The sequence below is a fragment of the Homo sapiens genome, chromosome 10 (genome assembly GCF_000001405.40).
Source record: "Homo sapiens chromosome 10, GRCh38.p14 Primary Assembly".
In the NCBI taxonomy this organism is placed as follows: domain Eukaryota; kingdom Metazoa; phylum Chordata; class Mammalia; order Primates; family Hominidae; genus Homo; species Homo sapiens.
Genome location: NC_000010.11, coordinates 102957656 through 102984871, shown reverse-complemented (window position 1 = coordinate 102984871; position 27216 = coordinate 102957656). Strand labels below are relative to the sequence as shown.

The 27216-nt window shown below is 41.2% G+C and overlaps 1 protein-coding gene across 2 annotated transcripts in view, besides 1 other annotated feature; it reads right to left on the bottom strand.

The window, feature by feature from the left end:
* CNNM2 (cyclin and CBS domain divalent metal cation transport mediator 2) overlaps positions 1-27216 on the bottom strand; it is a 171929-nt gene that overhangs the window by 105351 nt on the left and 39362 nt on the right. The window lies entirely within an intron of this gene.
* Positions 11933-12133: a silencer, noted in NCBI's record as "peak1082 fragment used in MPRA reporter construct". NCBI's record gives its function as "represses an SCP1 promoter by STARR-seq MPRAs in K562 erythroleukemia cells {active_cell/tissue: K562}" and the evidence as "EXISTENCE:reporter gene assay evidence [ECO:0000049][PMID:32103011]".

The window sequence follows — 27216 nt, the reverse complement described above, 5'->3', positions numbered from 1 at the left end:
AGTTAGAGACCAGCCTGGCCAACATGGTGAAACACCACCTCTACTAAAAATACAAAAATTAGCCAGGCGTAGTGACAGGCGCCTGTAGTCCCAGCTACTTGGGAGAATCACTTGAACCCGGGAGGCAGAGGTTGCAGTGAGCCGAGATCACACCACTGCACTCCAGCCTGGGTGACAGAGTGAGACCGTCTCAAAAAAATAAGATAGAAGTAAGGACAAGATTACACAATTATATTTCAGTTATAATCTAGGCTTAGATTGTCAAATATCTAGTTGTAGAGCGAGCACTACCCTAAGCCTTTTACACATATTCCTTTAAAATTACTAGTAACATCAAAAAATTTTCCTGCAAGAATCTTATACACATGAAGACCTGGAGCCATCACTTAAAAATTAAAATTCCCCTACTTAATGGCTACTGGGACTAAGAAATTATTTCTGATTATTTCTCTCATTCTGTTAATATATAACACTTCCTAAAGCCATCTTACTCCAGCTTTAATTGGCCAATTTAACCTTGGCTATTCTACATGTCAACACCACATAAAAACCCTATAATTGTTTATCCAGCTTCTGCTGAATCCTCCTCCCTAGTAAAACAATTCCACACATCCATCAGGGGACAATAAAGAACATTCCCAAATAGCTTTATTTATTGTCTTGGATTATCACATAAGTTTTTAACCTCTCTGGGCTTCAGTCTTTATTCACGTAATCTTCATCCATAACTACATGCATTCATTTATTAACTCTTTCAAAAAATATTTACTGAACAACTACTGCCAACCAACAGTAGGCTCATAAAATTTACAATCTGGCCAGGCACAGTGGCTCACACCTGTAATCCCAGCACTTTGGGAGGCCAAGGCGGGTGGATCACCTGAAGTCAGGAGTTCGAGACCAGCCCGATCAAACCCCATCTCTACTAAAAATACAAGAATTAGCCAGGCGTGGTGGCGGGCACTTTAATCCCAGCTACTCAGGAGGCTGAGGCAGGAGGATCGCTCAAACCTGGGAGGTGGAGGTTGCAATAAGCCAAGATCCCGCCACTGTATTCCAGCCTGGGCAACAGAGCAAGACTCTGTCAAAAAAAAAAAAATTTACAATTTAAGTGCTATGTAAAATGAAACAAACTAGGCCAGGTGGCTCATGCCTGTAATCCCAGCACTTTGGGAAGACAAGGAAGGAGGAGCACTTGAGCCCAAGAGTTCAAGACCAGCCTGGGCAACATAGAAAGACCCTGTCTCTACACAAAAATTTAAAAAACTAGCCGAGCATCGTGGTGTGCACCTACGATCCCAGCTACTTGGGAGGCTGAGGTGAGAGGATCACTTGAGCCTGGGAGGTCAAGGCTGCAGTAATTTTTGTATTTTTAGTAGAGACAGGGTTTCACCATGTTGGCCAGGATGATCTCAATCTCCTGACCTTGTGATCTGCCCGACTTGGCCTCCCAAAGTGCTGGGATTACAGGTGTGAGCCACCACGCCCGACCTAAAAAATTTATATATATAAATATATATATAAAATATATATAAAAATATAAATATTTTAAAGACAGCTAGGCTGCTTTGATATTGTCCATTTAAGACCTAAAATTCCATAGTTATATAATATATAGCATATATTTTACTCCTTAATTATCAAAAAAGCAAAACACAAAAAAACTTGTCATTAATAAGAAATATAATATTTAGATCACACCTGAGCAAGGTCTTTTTTCAATCCTGGGAGGAAATTTCTAGTTCTATCACAATTTCCTGTCCTAACAATTAAAATCAATATCAAAGTTGAACAAACAATAAGCCACAAAATATGGGTCTCCTTTCAAATTATGAAAAGGCTGGAATTATTAAGTAGAACTAAACACCATAGAGTGGATGAAGTAAACTCATGTTTAAGGAATAGTTTTTAATATTCAGTTCTGTTCACTTGTCAGCTTTCTGTAACTTAGATTAGTTTAATTAATGTTAATTTTCCATACATTCCAAGATTTAGACTGTAATATAAGTTTATTGAATGCAGCACCAATGACAAAACTGTATTGCAACTCCATCACTAATTAGTTTAAAAATGTATTCTTCAACCACTCCTCTGAAATAACAATGAGTATCGTCATCCAATTCAGAACAACAAACATTCACATAAACAAGTAGGAACAGTCTTGTTTCCAGTTGCTTACAAGTTCCAGAGTCAAATTAATACACTCATGAAAACAATTACTTATATCGGAAAGCCCTAAAGCCACAAAGAACTAACTACCCATCAAAGCTTTACAGTCTTGATTACACAGGGGAATGCAGCTAGGCCGAGCAAACAGCCCAAAGCTGGGCCAGCTTCTCTCTCCTGCAAATTAGTAATGGTCTATGTTTTTCCTCTTCTCTGCCAAATCCTTGAAGAAGGAACACACTTCAAATACAAAAAGAGCCAATAAAAAGAACCCTAAAAATACCTTCTATTCCTGAGATCTAATCATTTCATTCATTTGTCTGACAAATATTTATTATGTACTCACTACTGCAGGCCCCAGGCTAACCCTATGCTGGACTGGGTTGCTGTCTTCAGTGGAGCTTAAGGTCTAGAGAGACAGACCAATATGAATCAAATAATATAGCCAGTGTGATAATTATGAAATAACAATAACCAAGTGCTAATAGTGAGATTTAAAGGAGAATCTTACCTAATATAAAAAGGCAAAGAACACCTCCTTGAGAAAGTGACGACTGTTTAGTCGTCTGAAGGATACTAAATATCTTAAATTTTTTCTCTGCACATTTGCATGGATAATTTTTCTGGTCACCAAATGACTATAGTTCCAAAATAGGATATTTCTGAATATGTAGTGGATATACTTCAAATGTAAGAAAAGCACTTATGCATTCCATTTGCCCTCCACTGTTACCATGAGAAAAGCACACCTTGGCTAGACCACTGGTCCTCCAAGAAAGATGAAACAAATGAAGAAGAGGCAGTCACCCTAGTCATTCCAACCAAGGCCATCCTAGATCAGCTAATAGCTGGCCAACCCTCGAGATCAGCAGAGCCTCCCAGCCAACTATCCTAGACATATGGCCAATAAACACTTACTATTATGTGCAACTGAGGTCTCTCAGTGATCTGAGATATAGTATTATGGCAATAGATAACTGATACACAAGATCAAAAAAAAAATTACCATCCCTGGTCAGGCGTGGTGGTGTATCCCTATAATCCCAGCACGTTGGGAGGCCAAGGCAGGCAAATCGCTTGAGCTCAGGAGTTCAAAACCAGCCTGGGCAACATGGCGAACCTTGACTTAAAAAAAAAAAATACCAAAGTTAGCCGGGTGTGGTGGCATGCACCTGTGGGTCCCAGCTACTCGGGAGGCTGAGGTGGGAGGATCACTTTTCTCTAGGAACTACTGGAGGATATGTTCTCCCAAGATAAGTGAGTAAACCAACAAAGATCCTGATGTGGGGATCCAGAGGTAAAAAATTTAATATAGGAAAAAAGAGGAAGGGAATTATTTGTTTTGGGGTTTTTTTTTGAGACTGGTCTCGCTCTGTCACCCAAGCTGAAGTACACTGGCATGATCACAGCTCACTGCAGCCTCAACCTCCCGGACTCAGGTGATCCTCCCATCTCAGCCTCTCAAGTAGCTGGAACCACAGGCACACGCCATCACACCTGGCTAATTTTTAAATTTTTTTTTGTAGAGATAGGGTTATGCCATGTTGCCCAGAATGGTCTGAAGTCCTGGACTCAAGCGATCACCTGTTTCAGCCTCCCAAAGTGCTGGGATTACAGGTGCGAGCCACCACACCTGGTGATGAAGGGAATTCTTAATTTGTGAAGGTAAGATTCAGGGCAACAGCAGTACAGAGCCAGCACAGGTTGGCAGTTCTAGGAGATGTGCTTCCGAAACAAGCTAAAGAACTGATGCATAACCTGATGTATTTACTTTAGAATTCCAGCAAAGTGTATGTGGATAAGCTGGTGATGTGAAGAAAAGTAAGCAAAGAAAAAGAGATTTATGAAGGATTCCAGGGAAGAAAAAAAAGCATGTGATCGCAATATGTTGATTGTATCATATGAACAATCTTTATGTAGTCATAATAATGTAAACACTGAACACATTGGTTTAAGATGAAAAGTTAGGGAACATTTCTCTAAGGAAGTGACATCTAAAGCACATCTTAAATCTGATAATTATAACAACAGGATAGAGGAAGAAAAGTATGAATGTGTGGTGTGGGGAGAGGGGAAATACAGAAAAGGAAAGTCCTTATCTTTCAGCGTAAGAGCCAACAAAGAAGATCTAAAACTGGGTTGGGCATGGCACCTCACACCTATAATCCCACCACTCTGGAGCCCAAGGCGGGCAGATCACTTGAGCCCAGGAGTTCGAGACCAGCTTGGATAACATGGCGAGACCCTGTCTCTACAAAAGATACAAAAATTAGCCAGGTGTAGTGGTATGCGCCTGTAGTCCAGCTACTCAGGAGGCTAAGGTGGGAGGATCACCTAAGCCAGGAAGTTGAGGCTGCAGTGAGCTATGAAAAAAAAAAAAACCCACTAAAACTGAAATAAAATAGATAGCAATTTAACTAAAAGTTTAGAAATATCAAGTTTAATGGTATGAGAAAGAGATGAGGCTGGACGCAGTGGCTCACACCTGTAATCCCAGCACTCTGGGAGGCCGAGGTGGGCAGATCACTTGAGGTCAGGAGTTCTGAGACCAGCCTGGCCAACATGGCGTCTGAGACCAGCCTGCCAACATGGCGAAACACTTGTCTCTACTAAAAAATACAAAACTTAGCTGGGCTTGGTGGCACGTGCCTGTAATCCCAGCTACTTGGGAGGTTGAGGCAGGAGAATGGCTTGAACCCAGGAGGCAGAGATTGCAGTGAGCCGAGATCACCCCGCCGCACTCCAGGCTGGGTGATCCAGCAAGAATATGTCTCAAAAAAAAAAATAAAAAGAAAAGAAAGAGATGGAAGAGAACAAAGTAGTTAACTTTGGAGAGTAGGAATTAGAATGAGATAAGGAGTTGCTATTTTAAGCCCTGTGTCTTTTTCAGCTATGTTTTAATAAAAATTAAAATTAAGTAATTTTTATCAATTTTTAACCTCATTTGTCTTATTCTCCCCAAATTCTATTTTCATCCATTATGTCTATTACAACTATTTGTTTTATGTATTCATTTACTCACTCAACTATTTATTGGGCAACTATTAATGTCTACTGTTCTAGAGGATAATGGATACAACAATTAACAAAAAAACAAAGTCCCTGGTGGGTGGCGGGGAGACAAATGTTACACATATTAAACATAGACATGCTCAGTAGTAAGTAGTACGAGGAAAAATAATGCAAAATAAAGGGACAGAGATGAAAAGAATAGGCTATTTTACATATGTTAGTGACCTGTGAGCAGACATCTGAATTTAAGCAGGTAACATAGCTAGGTGGTATAACAAATGAGGTAGTGGGGGCAGCTAGCACAAAGGCCTGAAGATACGTGTGCTTAGCATGTTCAAAGAGAAGTAGGAAGACAAGTGATATGCCACTGTAAGAATTTCAGCTATTATTGAGTGAGTTGATAAACCACTGACAAGCTTTCAAACAACAAATAATAGGATTTAACAAATATTTTAAAAGATCACTCGCTGGGGTACAACCATTTTGGAAAATTATTTGGTAATACAAAGCCCGAACCCACACATACCTCATGAACCACAGATCCTACTCCTAGGTATATACCCAACATAAACACATACATATATTTGCCAAAAGACTCGTACTAGAATGTCCAAGCAGCATGATTCAAAATAGCCTAAAGCCGGGAACTATCTGAATGCCCATTAGCAGAATGGAAGAATGGATAAATAAATCGTGGTATATTAACACAATGTGATAGCACACAGCAATGAGAAGAAACCATTTACAATTTCATAAAACATCATGGATGATTCACACACACATAAGGCTGCATAAAAGAAGCCAGACTCAATACAGTACATATTGTACGATTCCATTTATTATAGATAAAGTACAAAAACAACAAAACTGACCTATGTTCTACAAGTCAAGGTGATGATTACCCTTGGGACAGGGACTGGAAGGCAGCATGAGTTGCTGGTCACATTCCGTTTCTTGCTCTGGGCGCTGGTCACACACAGGTATGACCAGTTTGCGAAAATTCACTGCAAACTCATAACATGTGCATTTTTGTGTGTGCTTATAAACATCAGTAAAGTTTTTTGTTTGAAAGATCACTGACTGCTGTGTGGAAAATAATTATAAGGAGGCAAAGATAAAACAGCAAGGAGACCAGCAAGGAGGCTAATGGTACAGCCATAATATGCTATAAAATGACAGGGGCTTGGGTGGTAGAGGTAGAGATGGTATGGAGTGGCCACATTCTGGAAATATTCTGAAGCTAGAGTCAGTAAGATTTCCTAACAGATTACACCTAAGGTTAAGAGAATCGAAGTCATAAAGGATAACATTCAGATTTTACCCTGACAACTGGAAAGACAGGACGGCCATTAATTAAAATAAGGATGATGGCAGCAAGTATAGATTTGCAGAGGGCGGGGAGAAGAGGAAAAAAAAAATCGAGTCCAGTTTTGAAAATCGTATGTTTGAGATGGCTCTAAGTGGAGCTTAAAAAAAAAAAAAAAAGTCCAGGCATGGTGGCTTACGTCCGTCATCCCAGCACTTTGGGAGGCCGAGGCGGGTGGATCACGAGGTCAGGAGTTTGAGACCAGCCTGGCCAACATGGTGAAACGCTGTCTCTACTAAAAATACAAAAAGTTAGCCAGGCGTGGTGGTGCATGCCTGTAATCCCAGCTACTTGGGAAGCTGAGGCAGGAGAATCGCTTGAACCCAGGAGGTGGAGGTTGTGGTGAGCAGAGATCACACCATTGCACTCCAGCCTGGGCAACAGAGCAAGACTCTGTCTCGACGACAACAACAACAAAATAGGTCCCAGGAGGAACTCAAAGACCAAGGAATGGTCTGGAGATTCTGTCTAACAGCATCATTCATCATTCCTCCTGTTCACCTACTTTCCTCACTTCCTCTTTTAAAAACAAAAAAAAGTAGACAGAGTCTCGCTCTTGGCTTACTGCAACCTCCGCCTCCAGAGTTCAAGTGATTCTCCTGCCTCAGCCACCCCAGTAGCTGGGACTACAGGTTTGTGCCACCACACTCGGCTAATTTTTGCATTTTTAGTAGAGACAGAATTTCATTATGTTGGTCAGGCTGGTCTTGAACTCCTGACCTCAGGTGATCCACCCACCTTGGCCTCCCAAAGTGCTGGGATTATAGGCATGAGCCACTGCGCCCAGCCAATAACACAATTTTTAAAAATTTTTTCACAAGGAAACTTAAGGATCCTTAGAGTATGTCCTCAAATCATAAGGGAACTACAATTTGAGAAACAAACTATTCCCAGTTGAAATACAGGTTGAGTATCCCAAATCCAAAATCTGAAATACTCCAAAATCCAAAACTTTTTGAGCACTGACATGATGCTCAGAAGAAATGTTCACTGGAGCATTTCAGATTTTGGATTTTTGGATTTCAGATGCTCAGCCAGTAAACATAATGCAAATATACCAAAACCTTTAAAAAAAAATCCAAAATGCTTGTTCCCAAACATACATACAAGGAATACGCAACCTGTACAAACATCCATGAGAGTAAATAATAAGAGCTTGTCACAATTGGGCCATCAGATGCTTTCCACTCTGCAGTCAGATGGGAATAGCTCTTTAGGACAATCAGTTTTACAGATGTTAATGTCTTTTCTAAAACTCTTTTTATTATGGGAAGAATAATACTGTGAGCCTCCCTGTACCCAATACCCAACTTGACCAATTATCAGCACATAAAGGTAAAGTGTTAATAGTCAAGCTGCATGATGTTAACAGCAATATCTCAGAAATGCCAAAACAAGGAAGTAGCATAAATGAAAGAAAGGTAAAGGGGTTCCTGTTTATTCATTCAACAAACATTTATTAAACCCTTAACGTACATCCAACCCTGAGAGTCCAAACATGGTCCTTGTCTTCCTGAAGCTCAGAGAGTTTGAAAACAACCAATTAGAAAGTAGTGGACAGGGCAAGCGCAGTGGCTCACGCCTGTAATCCCAGCACTTTGGGAGGCCAAGGTGGACAAATCACTTCAGGTCAGGAGTTCAAGACCAGCCTGGTCAACATGGTAAAACCCTGTCTCTACTAAAAATACAAAAAAAAAAAAAAAAAAAAAAAAAAAATTACCTGGGCGTGTGGCGCACACCTGTAATTCCAGCTACTCATGAGGGTGAGGCAAGGGAACTGCTTGAACCCAGAAGGCGGAGGTTGCAGTAAGCTGCAATCTAAGCTGCAATCACACCCCTGCACTCCAGCCTGGGTGACAGAGCAAGATTCCATCTCAAAAAAAAAAAAAAAAAAAAAAAAAAGGCAAGAATTGGAACTGATACTGTAACAGACATAATGTTACACAGTACCAAGGTGGGCACCTAACCCAGCCTTGAGGGTTCAGAGAACCCTGAAACAAAGGATAATTCAGAATCTGCCTAGGGCTTCAATTCTGCACTACTCTACTAAATTCTTCTTTCATTAATCATAAAATGTTATTCACTTTGCTTTCTCTTCTAAATTCCACTCTCCCTCCAAAGATTTTGTAAATTTGACAGAAAATTAGCACAAGCATGCATGTTTTAGTGTATTTTAGGCTCACATTGCTTTCAGATCTTCTCAGCTTCTAAGCCCCTCAGCTGCTCAATGACTTTATACACACCAATATTATTTTCATTAATCACTCTCTTCCAAGTATCTCTTTCAAACCATCAAGGTTTCTCAATTGAAAGAACCAGTGAGGTTCTTTTAAGACAAGGAAGTAGAATTTCACTTAAGACTGAAAGCAAGCCGTAGTGCCACTGAGTCTCTTCTCCCCTATGGTGAAAACTTATTTCAAACTGCTGACTTCGTTGTAATTATGATCCTCAAAGCTGGGGCCAAATTCCAGAGGGGCCAATTATAATACACCTAAGTTTTCTCATAGTTTTAATTGGCTATGCTTCTGTTACTCCATAACCCTAAACTACTGCCAAGCATATATTACAAGGTCATTTACCAAAGAATTTTACAATTGGAAGGAGGCCTTAGAGATCAATCACTTAGTGTTGTGGTTTGCAGACTATGTTCCAGAGGAGTGCTTCACAGGTCCTGCCAACACAGACACAAGTTTTGACATACTTGGCAATTTGTTAATTTGGGCTTATGAAGACCTTGGCATAAAGTTCCTCCTGCCCTCTCAGTGTACATACATGTATTTGCAGGTTCTTACCACTGTATCACTGATGAGAAAAGGCTGTTTAACTCTGTGGAGGTTTGTTTTTTTTTTTTTTTTTTTCTAATTCCATCCCACAGAATCCACTCAGGTAAACTTGCTAGAGCAAATTCACCATCCAGTTCACTGTCACCACTCTGCTTAATTCAATGCTAAGGCTGAAGTACATCTGCTGGCTAAGTGATTACTGTCAGTTGCAAAATAATAAATTTGATAACATGTTATGTCATGATAGTATATTATGAGTGCCAATTTAAATTTTGAGTGTTTCTTGCCTTTTCCATTTATAATGAGGAAAAGTGAACACTTGTTAGTGATTCAACATTTTTATATCCTCTAAAACACAGCTGCCAAATGATTGTTCAACCTCCTACAAACAGGAAGTTTACCATCTTCTACTCCATCATTAAACAGCTCTCACTGCAAATTAGTCTTTAAATTGAGCCATGTCTTTCTATCTGTGGCTTCCATCCACTGGCCTTAGTTCTATTCCCTAGAACCACAAGGTACAAATCCTCTTCCTTTACATATCCTGATGGCTAATTATGGGCTTCCCATGCCCCAAGTTCTCATGTCTCCAAAGCAGATCTTTCTTCAATTGTTCTTCTGTATGTGGCTTCTAATTTCAAAATGTGTGCCCCAGAATTGACCAAGACTTGATAGTTGTGTCCACCCCAATACAGAATAAAATAGGATTCATGGGCATGCTGGCTCATACCTATAATCCCAGCACTTTGGGAGGCCAAGGCGGGAGGACTGCTTGAGCCCAGGAGTTCAAGACCAGCCTGGGCTCGATGGTGAGACCCTGCCTGTATGAAAAAAATTTTAAAAGTTGGCCAGGCACAGTAGTGTGTACCCACAGTCCCAGCTACTGGCAGGGCTGAAGTGAGCTGTGATCATACCACTGCACTCCAGCCTGGGCTACAGGGCAAGACCCTGTCTCAAAAAAAAAAATAAATAGGATTATCATCTCCCCCAATTCTAGATATTCTTTTTTTCTTTCAATAATGCATCTGAGATTTTATTTTTGTTGTTGCCACATCTCACTACGGACTCACATTTGGCCCTCCGCAGATGTCCTTAAGTGCTACTCCTAAGCCACAAACCCCTCAACATCATCCTGTGCTTACTTATGCAACTAGCTTTATGGTCAAAATAGGATCTACATTCGTCCAGTCAAACTTCATCTTATAACTAGTTCATCATCTTAGTTTGACAAAAACATGACTGAGTTCAAATTTGGACATGTACATGCCCCATCTTAGAGCTGTTGTTTTTTGTGCTTTTCCCTCTCTTATGTTTAGGGTAAAAGACTGATCAGGTGATCTACCTGTGGGGCCACACATACTACACCCCACACATCCCCTCCCACACCTCCATCTGAAGTGAAGAAGAGAATTTCAAATACAAAGCCAAAGCCAAAATCAAAAATAGGAAAAGGAGAGGAAACTGTATTACCTAGTTCCCAAGGACGTCAATGCCTTTCTTAAAACCCCAGAGTTCCAAAAAAACTTCCCTGTTCTTTGTCAATAGTTATCTTTCACCCCTGTTATACCAGCAGCAATTGCATGGAGATGGATGAATGACAGAAGCTGAGCAGAAAGGATAGGTGGGTTTCAAACAGCCAGAGGTCTGGGGAGAGGGTAGGGAGCAATCCCGCATAAGGATTCAATAAGTAAATACAAGATGATGTTGTTTTAAAAAAGGGGGGGGGGGAATACATGAAAAGATGCTGTTAGCTTATCAATGCAAAATTGGAGTATGTGAAGAATAAAAGGTTGAAGAGGTAAATATTTCATTCAAAGGGTCTAAAATGAAATATTAAAATGTTTGAACTTTCTGTTACAGTTGTTTCTTATTAAAAGTCACTGCATAAGGCCAGGCACAGTGGCTCATGCCTGTAATCCCAGTACTCTGGGAAGCCAAGGTGGGTGGATCTCTTGAGCCCAGGAGTTTAAGACCAGCCTGGGGGCACAACATAGTAAGACCTTGTCTCTACCAAAAAAAAAAAAAACACACACACACACACAGAAAATTAGCACAAGCATGCATGTTTTAGTGTATTTTAGGCTCACATTGCACACATTAGCTGAGTGTGGTGGCATTTGCCTGTAGTAGTTCCAGCTACTCTGGAGGCTGAGAAGTAGGAGATCACTTGAGCCTGGGAGGCTGAGGCTCCAATGAGCCATAATTGCACCACTGTATTCCAGTCTGGGCAACAGAGCGAGACCCTAGCTCAAAAAAAAAAAGTTATTGCATATAGCAGTGATTTAATCAGAATCATGGTCTGGGAAGATTAATCTGGCAGCAGTATATAAAACTTAATTAGAAGGAAAGAAACACTAGAAGAGAAGAGACCACTCAGGAACATGAAGGCCAGTATGGAAAAAAAAAAACCGTACTGATGTACTTTAGATACAAAAATGAAAGATAAAAAATTATCCAACTTCTCCAAGTTGACTAAGATGAACCATTATACTACAAAATTTAAAATGCTGCCAAATAAACTATGTCATGCTGTCATCCCAGTTTCATGGATGTTAAAACGTGGGGAAAAAAAGTGCATCTTTCAACCAATGAAATATAGCCAATAGCTTGTGGTTTAACACAATTGTCAAGATAAAGAAACTTGATTGTACAGTTACAGTGCACAGCAAAGGGTACAATGTACAGCAGTTTCTCTCCTTATCAGTTGCATGAATTCTCTCCTTACTAATTCTCCAAGTGTGTCACAGGAACTCAATGAATGTTAAGTAAAAGGAACCAAGCAGCACCACCCCCTTCACACTCTCAAAGAAAAAAACACAACTCAACTGGAAAGAGGCAATGAAATCTGTTTTACATACTGTGATTTTTTAACTAGGGTTTCACATCAGAATCAGGGAGCTTTTTTTATTTTGAGACAGTCTCGCTCTGTCTCCCAGGCTGGAGTGCAGAGGCGCGATCTCAGCTCACTGCAAGCTCCGCCGCCCGGGTTCACGCCTTCTCCTGCCTCAGCCTCCCGAGTAGCTGGGACTACAGGCGCCCGCCACCACGCCCGTCTAATTTTTTTGTATTTTTAGTAGAGACAGGGTTTCACCATGTTAGCCAGGATGGTCTTGATCTCCTGACCTCGTGATTCGCCTGCCTCGGCCTCCCAAAGTGCTGGGATTACAGGTATGAGCCACCGTGCCTGGCCAGGAAGCTTCTTCCTCTCTCCAAAACAAAACAAACCAAACTCCACAGATTTGGACCCCACATTTTATCTACGAAGAAAGAATATCTTAGTTGGAAATCACAGCATATATGCTGAAAAAAATTCCCCTAAATTATTCTGATGCAGTCATGATTAGGAATCACTGAATTAAGATAGTTACACTTAGAATATTAAAACATGGAAACACGTTGCAAGCATACCTCCAAATCCAAGAGCTATAAATGTTTGACAGATCTGACAACATACAAAACTAAGACTTCTGTAAGGAAAAACGCCACCATAAATAAGAAACGATCAATTGTAAGAAATATTTGCAAATTAAGAGTTAGGGTTTATAATATATAAAGATCTGCAACCAATTAAAAGACACAAACAACCCAAAGAAAAATAAGCAATAGATAATTCATAGAAGTACAAGTGGCTAAAATAAGGAAAATGTTCAGTCTCACTGAAGAAGTGCAAGTTATGACAATGAGCTATTTTTCACTTACCAAATAGGCCAAAAAAAGAAAAATATGTTAAAGATGAATATAACCAGTGTTAGTAAGGCCAACTGAAACACACGGACATTACTTACATAAGCAAAAACCTTAAACTTCATCAACAGTTAAGTAGATTATGGTAGAGTCATACAAAAAAAGGCCATGCAGCTGCTAAAATGAAGACAGCAAATCTACAGGTATGCACAGCCACCATACCCTGGGCCAAGTTCTGAAAAACCTTCATTTTAAAACAAAATGTACACTGCAGTTTCATTTCTGAAAAAAACAGCCACAAAACCCAACTGGCTATGTTTATATCTGCATAGAAAAAGGTATAAAAGGAAATAAATTCCTAATAATGGCGACAAGTAAGAGTAGAATGAGGGGGTAAGTGACTTCCTATACCTCTGTATTATCTTAAATTTTATAATGGGCACTTAAAAAAACCAATAAACAAAATTATCTATGTTACACAGCATCACTTTCCAAACACAAATAGTTAACGTGATACCTTCATCTACAAAAGCACCATTCTTTCCCCTTTGTTTACTGGGTGACTTTCTTAAAAGGTCCCAGAGACTTTTTTTTTTTTCTTTTTTTTTTTTTTAGGGACGAGGTCTCTAAGTCACCATAGTGTTTGCAGAAAAAAAAAAAGGATGGGGTCTCACTCTGTCACCCAGGCTGGATTGTGTAAATGGCACAATCATAGCTCACTGCAGCCTTGAACTCCTGGGCTCAAGGGATCCTCCCACCTCAGCCTACTGAGTAACCAGGACTAGAGGCAAGTGCCACCAGGACCAGCTAATTTTTAGATTTTTTTTTTTTTTGTAGAGACAGGGTCTCACCATCTTGTCCAGGCTGGTCTCAAACTCCTGGGCTCACATGATTATCCTACCTTGGCCTCCCAAAGTGTTGGGATTATAGGCATGAGCCACCACACCAAGCCCCAGAGACTAACTTTAACTAGAGTCACCAAGCCAGGAAAGAACACATTACAAAACAGGAATCTTTCAATAAGTCTCTTCCCTTCCAGGGTGACACTTGAGAAATGAATTCAGGTTTCCCAGTAACAACAAACTGGAGAACCAACACAAGAACTGAACCAATGCCTGAAGAAGGGGGGTGAACTGGCCCAGGGAGGAAACAGAGCAGGTCAAAATTCCCATGCTGATCAGTACTGGTACTGTGCCTGTGAACAGCCACTCTACTTCAGCCTGGGCAACATTGTGAGACCCTATCTCTAAAAAAGGAACTGAACCAAAAGGACAAGTCAATAGCAAATTTTTTTCTGAGAATAGGCAACATCTGGAATGGGTGAGAGCCAGGGTGGGCAAACTTTCTGTAAAGAGCCAGGCAGTAAGTATTTTAGGCTACGCAGGCTGTACAGTCTCTACTGAAACTACCCTACTCTTGCCCTTATAGCACAAAAGCAGACATGGGTAACACATAAATGAATAGGCATGGCTGTATTCCAATCAAAATTTATTTATGACACTGAAATTTGAATTTCATGTAATTTTCACATATCACAATTATTTTCAAGACAGCATTTCATGCTGTTGCCCAGACTGGAGTGCAGGGGCACAATCATGGCTACTGCAGCCTCAAACTCCTCAGCTCAAACAATCCTCCCACCTCAACCTCCCAAGTAGCTGGGACCATAAGTATGCACCACCACACCTGGCTAAAATAGTATTCTTTTACTTTCGACCATTTAAAAATAAAATTCTTTACTCCTGGGGCATACAAAAGCAGGTGGCAGGCCACAGGTAGTTTATATCAGAGGATAATTTTACAAATCTCAAAAAGAAAGAGTAAAAATAAGTAAGCAAAGAGTCTCTAATAAAATAGTGTCTGGATTCTTCACATACAAAAATTCTTTCAAGAGCTTTAGAAAAAAATACAGTTAATAAGGCAGGCACGGTGGCTCATACCTGTAATCCCAGCACTTTGGGAGGCCGAGGTGGGCGGATCACCTGAGGTCAGGAGCTTGAGACCAGCCTGACCAACATGGAGAAACCCCGTCTCCACTAAAAATACAAAATTAGCCAGGCGTGGTGGTGCACGCCTGTAATCCCAGCTACTCGGGAGGCTGAGGCAGGAGAATCACTTGAACCCAGAGGCAGAGGTTGCGGTGAGCTGAGATCGCAACACTGCACTCCAGCCTGGGCAACAAAGAGCAAAACTCCGCCTCAAGAAAACAAACAAAACAGTGAACCACAACACCAATTGCCGCTATTATAGAGTAGTGTTTTCTGAAATAGCCGAAATAATTTACAATATTAAAAGACTGCCAGTCGGTGGAGAAATACAAAGCAAAACTACAACTAAGATAGCACTACTGGCTGGGCATGGTGGCTCACGCCTGTAATCCCAGCACTTTGGGAGGCCGAGGCGGGCAAATCACAAGGTCACGAGTTCGAGACCAGCCTGGCCAACATGGTGAAACCCCGTCCCTACTAAAAATACAAAAATTAGCTAGGCGTGGTGGCAGGCACCTGTAATTCTAGCTACTCGGGAGGCTGAGGCAGGAGAATCGTTTGAACCCCAGAGGCGGAGATTTCAGTGAGTTGAGATTGCCCCATTGCACTCCAACCTGGGCGACAGGGCGAGACTCCGCCTCAAAAAAAAGCACTACTAGGCGCAGTGCAGTGGCTCATGCCTGTAGTCCCAGCACTTTGGGAGGCTGAGGTGGGCATATCACTTGAGCCCAGGAGTTCAAAACTAGCCTGGACAACATGGCAAATCCCTGTCTCTACAAAAAATAGAAAAAATTAGCCAGGCATGGTGGTGCACACCTGTAATCCCAGCTACTCGGAAAGTTTAAGTGGGAGGATTACTTGAGCCCAGGAGGTGGAGACTGCAGTAAGCCAAGATCATTCCACTGCATTCTAGCCTGGGTGACAGAGTGAGACCCTGTCTCAAAAAAAAAAAAAAAAAAAAAGACAGCACTGGCTGGGCACAAGTGGCTCATGCCTGTAACCCCAGCACTTTGAGAAGCCAAGGCAAGAATATTGCTTGAGCCCAGGAGTTTGAGACCAGACTAGGCAACATAGTCAGATGCTGTCTCTACAAAAAAATTAGCCTGGCATGGTGGCGTGCACCTGTATGTAGTCCCAGCTACTCAGTGCAATGAGGCGGAAGGATCACTTGAGCCACAGAGGTCAAGGTTGCAATGAGCTATAATCGCACCACTGACCAGCCTGAGGCAGAGCAAGACCCTGTCTCAAAGAAAAAAAAAAAAAAGCACTACACTCCCAGTAGCATGGTTATAACTCACATGCCAAGTGTTGACAAAGATGTGGAAAATAACCAGGTTGGGTGGCTCACATCTGTAATCCCAGCACTTTGGGAGGCCAAGGCGGGCAGATCACAAGGTTAGGAGTTCGAGACAAGCCTGGTCAATATGGTGAAACCCTGTCTCTACTAAAAATACAAAAATTAGCCGGGCTTGGTGCTGGGCACCTGTAGTCCCAGCTACTTGGGAGGCTAAGGCAGGAGAATCACTTGAACCCAGGAGGCAGAGGTTACAGTCAGCCGAGATTGCGCCATTGCACTCCAGCCTAGGTGACAGAGCCAGACTCCGTCTCAAACAAAAACAAAACAAAACAACAACAACAACAACAACAAAAAGATGTGGAAAAACCAAAACCCTCAGACATTGCTGGTTGTAAAATGGTACATACAGCCAAGTTGGAGAACAGTTTGGCAGCTTCTTGAAAAGTAAAATATATATATATTCTTACTATATGACCCAGAAACTTCACTCTTAAGTATCTCCACAAGAGAAATGAAAACATGTCCACACAAAGACTTCATGCAAGTGCCCACAGGGAATTATTATTTTGAGACAGAGTCTCACTGTGTCGCTCAGGCTGGAGCACAGTGACACAATCTCAGCTCATTGCCACCTCCGCCTCCCAGGTTCAAGCGATTCTCCTGCCTCAGCCTCCCACGTAGCTGGGATTACAGGCACTTGCCACCATGCCTGGCTAACTTTGTATTTTTAGTAGAGACGGGGTTTCACCATGTTGGCCAGTCTGGGCAGGAACTCCTGACCTCAGGTGATCCGCCCGCCTCGGCCCCCCAAAGTGCTGGGATTACAGGCATGAGCTCCCGCGCCCAGCCTTGGAGCGTTATTAATAACAGCCTAAACCTGGACACAATACAAATGCCCATCAACTAGCAAATGGGTAACAGAATGTGGTATATCCATGCAATCAAATACAATTAATCGGCATAAAGGAACAAACAACTTATACATGCTACACCATGGCTGAGCCTCAAAAACATTTTGCTAAGTGAAAGTAGCCAAACAAAAAAGACTACCTATGATTCCTTTTATAGGAAATTTCTAGAAAAGTCAAATCTATAGAGACAGAAAGCATAACAGTGTTTGCCAGAGGCTGGAGATGAAAGCAGGGATTGACCCAGAAGAAAGGAAACTTCCAGGGACAAAGCAGTGTTCTAAAACTGGGTTGAGGTGGCAATTCCCAACTCTATAAATTTACTTTTACAAATCACTGGATTGTATGCTTACATGGGTGGGTTTTATGGTATGTAAATTATACCTCAATAAAACCAGTTTAGGAGGAGAAAGGAGGCCAGGCACAGTGGCTCCCACCTATAATCCCAGCTACTCAGGAGGCTGAGGTGGGAGGACTGTTTGTGGCCAGGAGTTCAAGACCATCCTGGGCAACACAGCAAGACCCCTATCTCTAAAAGAAATTTTTTAAAAAACGTAGCGAAGTATGTTGGCATGCACCTGTAATCCCAGATACTGGGGAGGCTGACATGGGAGGATCCTCTGAGCCCAGAAATTCGAGGCTAAAGTGAGCTGGATCACACCAGACCCCAGGTAGCCCCATGGACCTACCAGATTGCTCATAGCTCTCTGCATTCTTCCAGACACTTCCATGATTCTGTGCCTTAATTAAGTACCTCCTCCTAGAAACTTCATTTATATCCTGCCCCACTCCTCATCCCACCTCACTCCCAAGGAGACTGCATATTTTCAATCTTCCCTGAGCTTTGCACTCAGCACATGTATCTTCGTCTCCTTTATTCCCACCTCCTAATTCCATGACAATTCCTTGAGGAAAGGACCATGTTATTAATCTATTTTATATTACATCCTACATATAGCAGGCACTAAATAAATATTTGTAATACCAAGCTACAAAATCTACAGGGAATAGGCACCATTTAAACAAGATCCTTTTAGGTTGGGATGGAGTCCACGCTCTGTTGCCCAGGCTGGAGTGCAATGGTGCGATCTCGACTCACTGCAGCCTCCGTCTCCCAGGTTCAAGCAATTCTCCTGCCTAAGCCTCCTGAGTAGCTAGGATTACAGGTGCCTGCCACCCAGCCCGGCTGTTTTGTATATTTAGTAGAGATGGGGTTTCGCCATGTTGGCCAGGCTGGCCTCAAACTCCTGACCTCAGATGTCTGCCCACCTCAGCCTCCCAAAGTGCTGGGATTACAGGCATGAGCCACACGCCAGGCCAACAAGATCCTTTTTTACATTAGCATGAACAGTGGCAAAAATCTAAACTTTTAAAATTCATACTAACCCACCTTTCACTCCTCCTCCATCCATCAAACCATTATCTAAATCCCTTCCAATTTCAGAAAACAGTTCTAGTTTATTTATTCCAGTTTATTTATTCCAGATTTTTCCAGTTTAATCATACAAGTACAGAAATCACGTTCAATGCTGAGCACAAGCAAATTTGACAACTGAATATAAAATCTGCAAGTGGAAAAGACAGTGGAACTTAACCAGACATAAGGAAATACAGCTCCTTATACTTCAACTAAACCCAAATTTCAACCAGCATAAAATTCCAAGAGAAGGAAAGGCTTTCTGGCAAAAATCTTGGTTAAGATGAAGACTCAGCTGTGACAAAGACCCTATTTTTTTTTTCCCCTGAAGAACTGTTTAGTCCTGACCATTTTTACCTGAAACAGAAAACACAGAGACCTTGAAGCTTAAAAAAGTCTAGCAAGTCTACAACTTCAAGTGGTTGGCATTTAGCTTGTGCTACTTCTTAAATAAGTGACTTAGGAAAATTATCTGCTTTTATTTTCAGAGATGGTAGGACAAAGCAATTTATTTTTAAAATCACAATTTGCGTCAGATGGAATTTAACCCTCCTACAAATGATTTACAGAGATAGAGTAGACAAAGGCCAAACACTGATAAGGATAAAGACGCTGACTCAAGACTTTAGAAAAACAAGCATGAAAACAGTAAAGCAGACACTACAGGGAATTAAAAGCCATCTACTGGCAATCTTCAATGAAGAAATCACTGAGATTTTAGTGAGTTCAATTTTGAGTAGAACAGCAAGTATTAACTATTGAGATAGTCTGAGCTGATTACTCCCCTGGAAGGAGGCGCACAACGACAGCCGGGGAAAAACTGATTTCCTACTTCTCGTCTTTGACTCAGACTTTCAAATAATCCCCCGTCTATATCAAACAGCTGTGATTTTAGGAACTATAAGCCAGCCCAATTTAAGAGGTTCACCCTCAAGAGGAAAAAGAAAGAATACTGAGATCATTTTAAACTGTTCATTGTTAACTGCTGATCCTTCAAACAAGTCAAGACAGAGCAGGGAAGAAGCATTATTTATAGAGAGCTGTGTGTCAGGTGCTTCATATATGTCTTGGTCAGTTTGTACTGCTATAGCAGAATACCACAGAATGGGTAATTTGTAAAGAAGAGAAATTTATTTCTCACAGTTCTGGAGGCTGGGAAGTCTAAGATCAAGGCGCGGGCAGGCTGAGTGTCTGGTGAGGGGCACGGTCTCTGCCTCCAAGATGGCGCCTTGCATCCTCTGGAGGGGAGGAACGCTGTGTCTTCACACCGCAGAGGGCAGAAGAGTAGGAGGGCCAAGTGCTGAGTGAAGCCTCTTTTATGAGGGCTTCAATCACTTTCATGAGGGAGAAGCCCTCATGGCCTTAACTCCCTCTTAAAGGCAACCCCCTCGCTTAACACTATCACGTTAGCCATTAAGTTTCAACAGGTTAATTTTGGAGGGGATCCACTCAAATCAAAGCAACATATAGTATTTCATTTAATCCTAACAAGAATCCTAGGAGGTGTTTTAAAGATGAGAAGACCAAGGAATAGAAAGACAAAGTAAAACTTACCAAGGCCCAAAGCTACCAAGTAGCAGAGCCCAAGTTTATGTCTTCTCTGCTGTATCACAGCACCTCCTAGGCTGAGTAGGTGGTCCAGGTAACTAGCTCTGCCAACTGATTAAATACAGGACACCTGATGCCAAGACTAGGCTCCCAATTTGCCCATTAAGAATATCTAGCCAGGCGCAGTGGCTCATGAGTGTGACCCCAGCTCTTTCGGAGGCCGAAGCGGGTGAATCACTTAAGGTCAGGAGTTTAAGATCAGCCTGGCCAACACAGTGAAACCCTGTCTCCACTAAAAATACAAAAATAAGCTAGATGTGGTGGCACACACCTGTAGTCCCAGCTACTCGGGAGCCTGAGACAGGAGAATCACTTGAACCTGGGAGGTGGAGGCTGCAGTGAGCCGAGATGGTGCCACTGCACTCCAGCCTGGGTGACTCAGCAAGACTCCATCTCAAAGAAAAAAAAAAAAAGAATATCTAATTAGCCCAATTAACTATTTCTACAAGTAATTTTTAATATTACTTTATGTTATGCATAAAATTACATTTCATTAAAGTTGGTAGACTGCAGACTCTGAGTGTAGACTTAATATTTGTAGACTATTTTTTGAAAACCATTAAGGCACTCTAAAGTCCATTACTTGCCTAAGGGATTGATATACAAACATTTGCCTCTTAATTTCTCATAAAGTAAAATAAAGTGTGAAAGCAAGGGACCATTTGTTTCTCTTTTTTTCAGTCCATCAGAACAATGCACATCTGTTTAATTTCTAAAAGAAAACTCAGAAAACACGATTCCTTAACGAGAAATAACTGCTCCTCTGAATTTCCACATACATTGTGCCTGTCCCTTTGGGCACTTATCACCTCAAGTTTGTATTAAAAACTATTTCTGTGCATGCTTTATCTTCTCTACCAGACTTTAAGCAACTTCAATATGCCCCACGGCATCTAGCAGAGCAGATGCTGAATACACGATTAAATGAAGAAAATTATTTTTTTACCCTCACTTCTGCCATATAGATGCTCAGAATCAATGTGTTTAATAAAAAAAAAGAAAGAAAAATAAAAACTGTTTACAATAATAATGAGATTCTCCGGGAACAATCAGCCTTGAATCAAAGTTGATTTCTGTCATCAGGTTCTAATTAAGAACGGCAGATAAAGCAGATGGAGAACAGCTTTAATCTTCATGCTAAGTTGATACTACTCTGGTGAAAACACAGAAAAATTGTTTGGACAAGCCAACTGAACAAACATGATATTGGGTGTCTGGAGGAAAGTCATTCTTAAAGAGTCTTCTTTCCACTAGATGGCTATCTGAACTTTTACTGAGAGAGTCAGTCAAAGGGCAAGGCATCACTTAATGTGACTGTGCGTTCCAGTTAGGCCAAGGAAAGGGGGTGGTGGTGAAGGGGAAGAAGTCAAGGACAGGGAAGTTTGTCCTTTTTCCATTTTTAAAAGGTTTCTCTTTTTGGAACTACTTACTTAGTCCTCTTCCCATTTTACTTACTCATATCACTTATTAAGTACTGCAGAAGTGTTTTCCTAGAATTGATGAAATTGTGCCAAAGTTCTCATCAAAGAAGTTTAGAGTTCGCTTAAACTGATTGGCCATATGATTTCAGATGCAAGCTCTCAGGACTTAATTTTGCCCATCTAAATGTGAAAATGTACCTACACATAATGTGTCATTTTAAAAAATGAATGGCTCCTAGTAATAGTTTTTCCATTAAGTACAATATGTTGTGATCCATACAGTAAAACTCCAGCCATTTGAAGTGAACTACCATGGCCATTTGTTTAAAATCATTATTTTACACTAATGTTTATTCACTTCTTTCTGATTATAGGATAAATGCTCACGGAAGAAATTTTGGAAAAATCTGAAAGCACATTTTGTTTCTCCTTAGTCTTTTAAAAATTATTCTATGCAAAGATATTGATGGTAAAATAGGTATACTACAATACACACACACACACACACACACACACACACACACACACACAGTATATCATATTGTGAGAATTCTCCCAAGTTGTTAATTATGCTTTGAAAGCATTATTTAATAGCTATGTAATATTTCATTATTTGGATATGTTGAAATTGACTTAACTATTCTCCTTTTGTTGAACATTTGAATTGTTTCTGCTATTTTTCTAGTATGAATAATGCTTTGATAAATGTCTCTGTGTCTGAGTTAGACCATGCCCTCAGGAAAGTTGACTACTAGGAGTATAATCACAAGAATCCCAAACAAAAGCATTTACCAGAAAGGGTGTGTCAATTCCCACTCACAGTGATAGCACCCACCTCCTCATACCCAGGTCAATGCTGAATGTTTCTTTAATCATTTTTTAAATTTAATTTTATTTTACGTTTCCAGGATATATGTGCAGGATGTGCAGGTTGGTTACACAGGTAAACTTGTGCCATGGTGGTTTGCTGCACAAATCAACCCATCACCTTAGATATTAAGCCCCGCATGCATTAGCTATGTATCCTGATGCTCTCCCTACCCCACCACCCCCCGGGACAGGCCCCAGTGTGTGTTGTTCCCCACCCTTTGTCCATGTGTCCTCATTTCAACACTGAATTTTACCATTAAAATTTTTTTTTTGCTAATTTGTTACACAAAAGCTGGTATCTTGCTGTTTTAATTTGCACTTCTCTTATTACCAAGGTAGAATTTTTCTTCATTTTAAAAAAAGTAAGTGCCTTATTTCAAGTCATAAGTTTGTTTTTTATAAGTATCGTTAGACAACCTTTCTTATTTTTTTTTAATATTTAATTTAATGTTTTTAGAGATTGGAGTATCGCTTTGTTGCCCAGGCTGGTCTCAAACTTCTGGGCTCATGTGATCCTCCTGCCTCAGCCTCTCAAACTGCTGGGATTACAGGTGTGAGCCACTGCACCCAGCCTCCTTTTTTAAAACTTTGTAAAATTTTCAGCTGGTTCTAAGTGACCTTATCCTACACCATGACAAAATCCATTTGACTATTCTCAGATTAACTACTGCAAAGAAAGAGTGATATTTTCAAAACAAGAGTTTCACATAATTTAACCTAATTTTGAAATTTTATAATTAAAATGCTAAGCTAGTCACACTATATTAAATCTAGTAGCCAAAAACAATGTAAAATTCCCCATTTTACAGGAAAAGCATTTCATTAATTTCTTCCTCTGTAAAAATGTAAATATTTATTTCTATAAGACATGTGCTTCAAGTGAATTACTAGAGAAATAGCCTGAGCATTGCCAAAAATAGAGTAAATTTTTGAGCATAAGTAAATCCTCTTTCTTTTCATATTCTCAGCTTCATCTCATAAATGAGAGCTATCTCTTGGCTCATGATGAAGGCTTAAGTATCAGTTAAGACAGCAGAATCAAATTACTCAACGATACATTACCAGAGCATGGTGTTATCTGGTTTAGGTTACATTATTTGATGGAGAATGACAACGCAGAGGTAAGATCCATCTGATGGGATATTTCTGTGCAGCCTTATTTAAAATTCTGTTGAACCAGGTATGGTGGCTCACACCTGTAATCCCAGCACTTTGGGAGGCTGAGGCGGCTGGATCACTTGAGGTCAGGAGTTCAAGACCAGCCTGGCCAACACGGTGAAACCCCGTATCTACTGAAGATACAAAAATTAGCTAGGTGTGGTGGTGCGTGCCTGTAATCCCAGCTACTTGGGAGGCTGAGGCAAGAGAAACCGGAGGTTGGAGTGAGCCAAGATCTCACCATTGCACTCCAGCCTGGACAACAAGAGCGAAACTCTGTCTCAAAAAAAAAAAAACAGAGAATCACTTGAACTCAGGAGGCGGAGGTTGTAGTAAGCCAAGATCATGCCACTGCGCTCCACCTGGGCGACGGAGCAGGACTCCATCTCAAAAAAAAAAAAAAAAAAAAAGCCAGGTATGGTGGCACATACCTACAGTCTCAGCTACTCGGGAGGCTGAGGCGGGAGGATAGCTTGAGCCTGGGAGGTCAAGGCCACAGTGAGCCATGATCACACGCCACTGCACTCCAGCATAGGCAACAAAGTGAGGTCTTGTCTCAAAAAACAAAGTAAAGTAATAAAATAAAATTCTGTTGAATTTAAGACATAACAAAAATTACAACCCGGTGTAATCTCAATTATGTTAAAAATAAATTTTAAAAAGATAAATAAATACGCACTGGAGGAAAAAAGATATGTCAAAATGTCAACAGTAGTTTTATCTCTTTGTGGTGAAAACACAGATGAAGAAAAACAGATGGCATTACTTTTAATAGTTAAAAATTTGTTATTTTATTGCAATAACATTAACGTAATGACAAAAGATTTCACAATACTGTCCTTTCAAACACCTTTCAGTCATGATCTGCACAGTAGGTACCAGTGTACAACAGTATGCACATTAGAACTGAAAAAGTGGTAATGAAATTCTCAGTATTCAAAGCATCCACCAAGTTTTCAATAAAGTGCAAATAGAAAATCAGCGTTTTTCAAAAACTACTTTTCCTGGGCACGTAGCATGCGTCAGGCACTGTGCTGAGCTCTTCACATGGATTATTTCATTTCGCCCTTTCATGACCCTAGGAGAGATTATTACTATTCTCATTTTATTTATTTATTTATTTATTTATTTTTTATTTTTTTGAGACAGAGTCTTGCTCTGTCGCCCAGGTTGGAGTGGGGTGGTGTGATCTCGGCTCACTGCAAGCTCCACCTCCCGGGTTCACACCATTTTCCTGCCTCAGTCTCCTGAGTAGCTGGGACTACAGGTGCCTGCCACCATGCCCGGCTAATTTTTTGTATTTTTAGTAGAGACGGGGTTTCACCATGTTAGCCAGGATGGTTTCGATCTCCTGACCTCGTAATCCACCCTCCTTGGCCTCCCAAAGTGCTGGGATTACAGGTGTGAGCCACCACACCCAGCCACTATTCTCATTTTAAAGATGAGGAAGCTGGCCAGCTGCAGTGGCGCATGCCTGTAATCCTAGCACACTGGGAAGCCACTGCAGGAGGATTCCTTGAGCCCAGAAGTTCAAGGCTGCAGTCAGCCATGTTCACATCACTGCACCCCAGCTTGGGTGACAGAGCAAGACCCTGTCTCTAAAGCAAACAAACAAAAAGATGAGGAAGCTGAGGCTTACAGATAAGCTAAAGTAACTTTCCTGGTGTTATGCAGCTATTAAGCAAAGGAGCCAGAATTCAAAGCCAGATGTCTGATATCAAGGCTCACACTTTTACTGAGAATGGGACATTTGCATTGTCTTCAATAACAACCAGACTGAGAGTGTTAACTACAGCAAATATTCCAGATATAGACCAGATACAGACTGCAGCTTCCTGGGTTACAAGCACAACACCATTTACTCTTCTACAAAAAGCTTGAGAATCCCTCCTGAATAGAAGTACTCGGTTCACTTTTCACGTGTAGTTATATGGGTAAATGTGGCATATAATAAATAAAATGAGCCAGGCACAGTGGCCGAGGCCTGTAATCAGCACTTTGGGAGACTAAGGCGGGTGATCGCTTGAGCCCAGGAGTTTGAGACCAGCCTAGGCAACATGGTAAAACCTCATCTCTACAAAAAATACAAAAATTAGCCAGGTGTGGTGATCCCAGCTAGTCGTGAGGCTGAGGCAGAAGGACCACTTGAGCCCAGGAGGTTGAGGCTGCAGTGAGCCATGACTGTGCCACTTAACTCCAGCCTGGGTGACACAGCAAGACCCTGTCTCAAAAAATAAGAATAATAAATAAAATAAAATGATCTCACTTGAAACTGCCAAAACCTGGATAACTATCCTGCCTCACAATCTGAAAGCACCCACTAACTTCTGGCCATCATTTAAAAGAGGGTTTTTTAAAGCACCAAACTGAAATAGCTATCACAAACCAAAGCACAAAGTCCTAGTTGATTAAAAACAAATACAAGGCCAGGCACAGTGGCTCACACCTATAATCCCAGCACTTTGGGAGGCCAAGGCATGTAGATCACCTGAGATCAGGAGTTTGAGATCAGCCTGGCAATATAGTGAAACCCCGTCTCTATTAAAAATACAAAAATTAGCTGGGCGTGGTGGCATGCACCTGTAATCCCAGCTACTCAGGAGGCTGAGGCAGGAGAATCGCCTGAACCTGGGAGGCGGAGGTTGCAGCAAGCCAAGATCACGCCACTGCACTCCAGCCTGGGTGACAGATGAGACTCCATCTCAAAAAAAAAAAAAAAAAAAAAAAAAAAAAACAAGTTGCTTGAATTCAGAACAAGTCAATTCAGACTCAACAGTTTATATTGGAAAAGAGGATGGTTTTAAAAGATGAAGACATACCAAAAACCGTCCAACTTCAAATCATATTCACTTGACTTCATTTGCTTTCTGCACAATATTGCTTTTTGAAACTAAGGGTAGAGAGGAATCCCAAATTATTCAACACAGTTAGAAAAAACAGGCCAGGTGCAGTGGCTCAGGCCGGGCGCAGTGGCTCACACCTGTAATCCCAGCACTTTGGGAGGCTAAGGCGGGCGGATCACCTGAGGTCGGGAGTTCGAGATCAGCCTGACCAACATGGAGAAACCCCGTCTCTACTAAAAATACAAAATTAGCCGGGTGTGGTGGCACATGCCTGTAATCCCAGCTACTCAGGATGCTGAGGCAGGAAAATCGCTTGAACCCAGGAGGCGGAGGTTGCAGTGAGCCAAGATCGTGCCACTGCACTCCAGCCTGGGCGACAAGAGCAAAACTCCATCTCAAAGAAAAAAGAAAAAGTAGAGCTTCTGAAATATCCCACAACTCAGCACTTCCAACTCTCCCACAGCAACTGCCCTTTAGTACTATATTCTATATTGTGATCCTTTTAAGGATTCCAGAGAAGCAAACAAGTAATGCCCAGGTAAGCGATCTACCAGCCTAACATAGCTCAAAATGGCAGATTATATTAGATGGTGTTAAACTGCATCAAAATTAAACAGAGAAATCAGTCAATGTCTTAAAAAGATGGTTCTCTCCTATTAGGGCTTAATTCCAAGGACAAAAGTCAGGACCTTGGA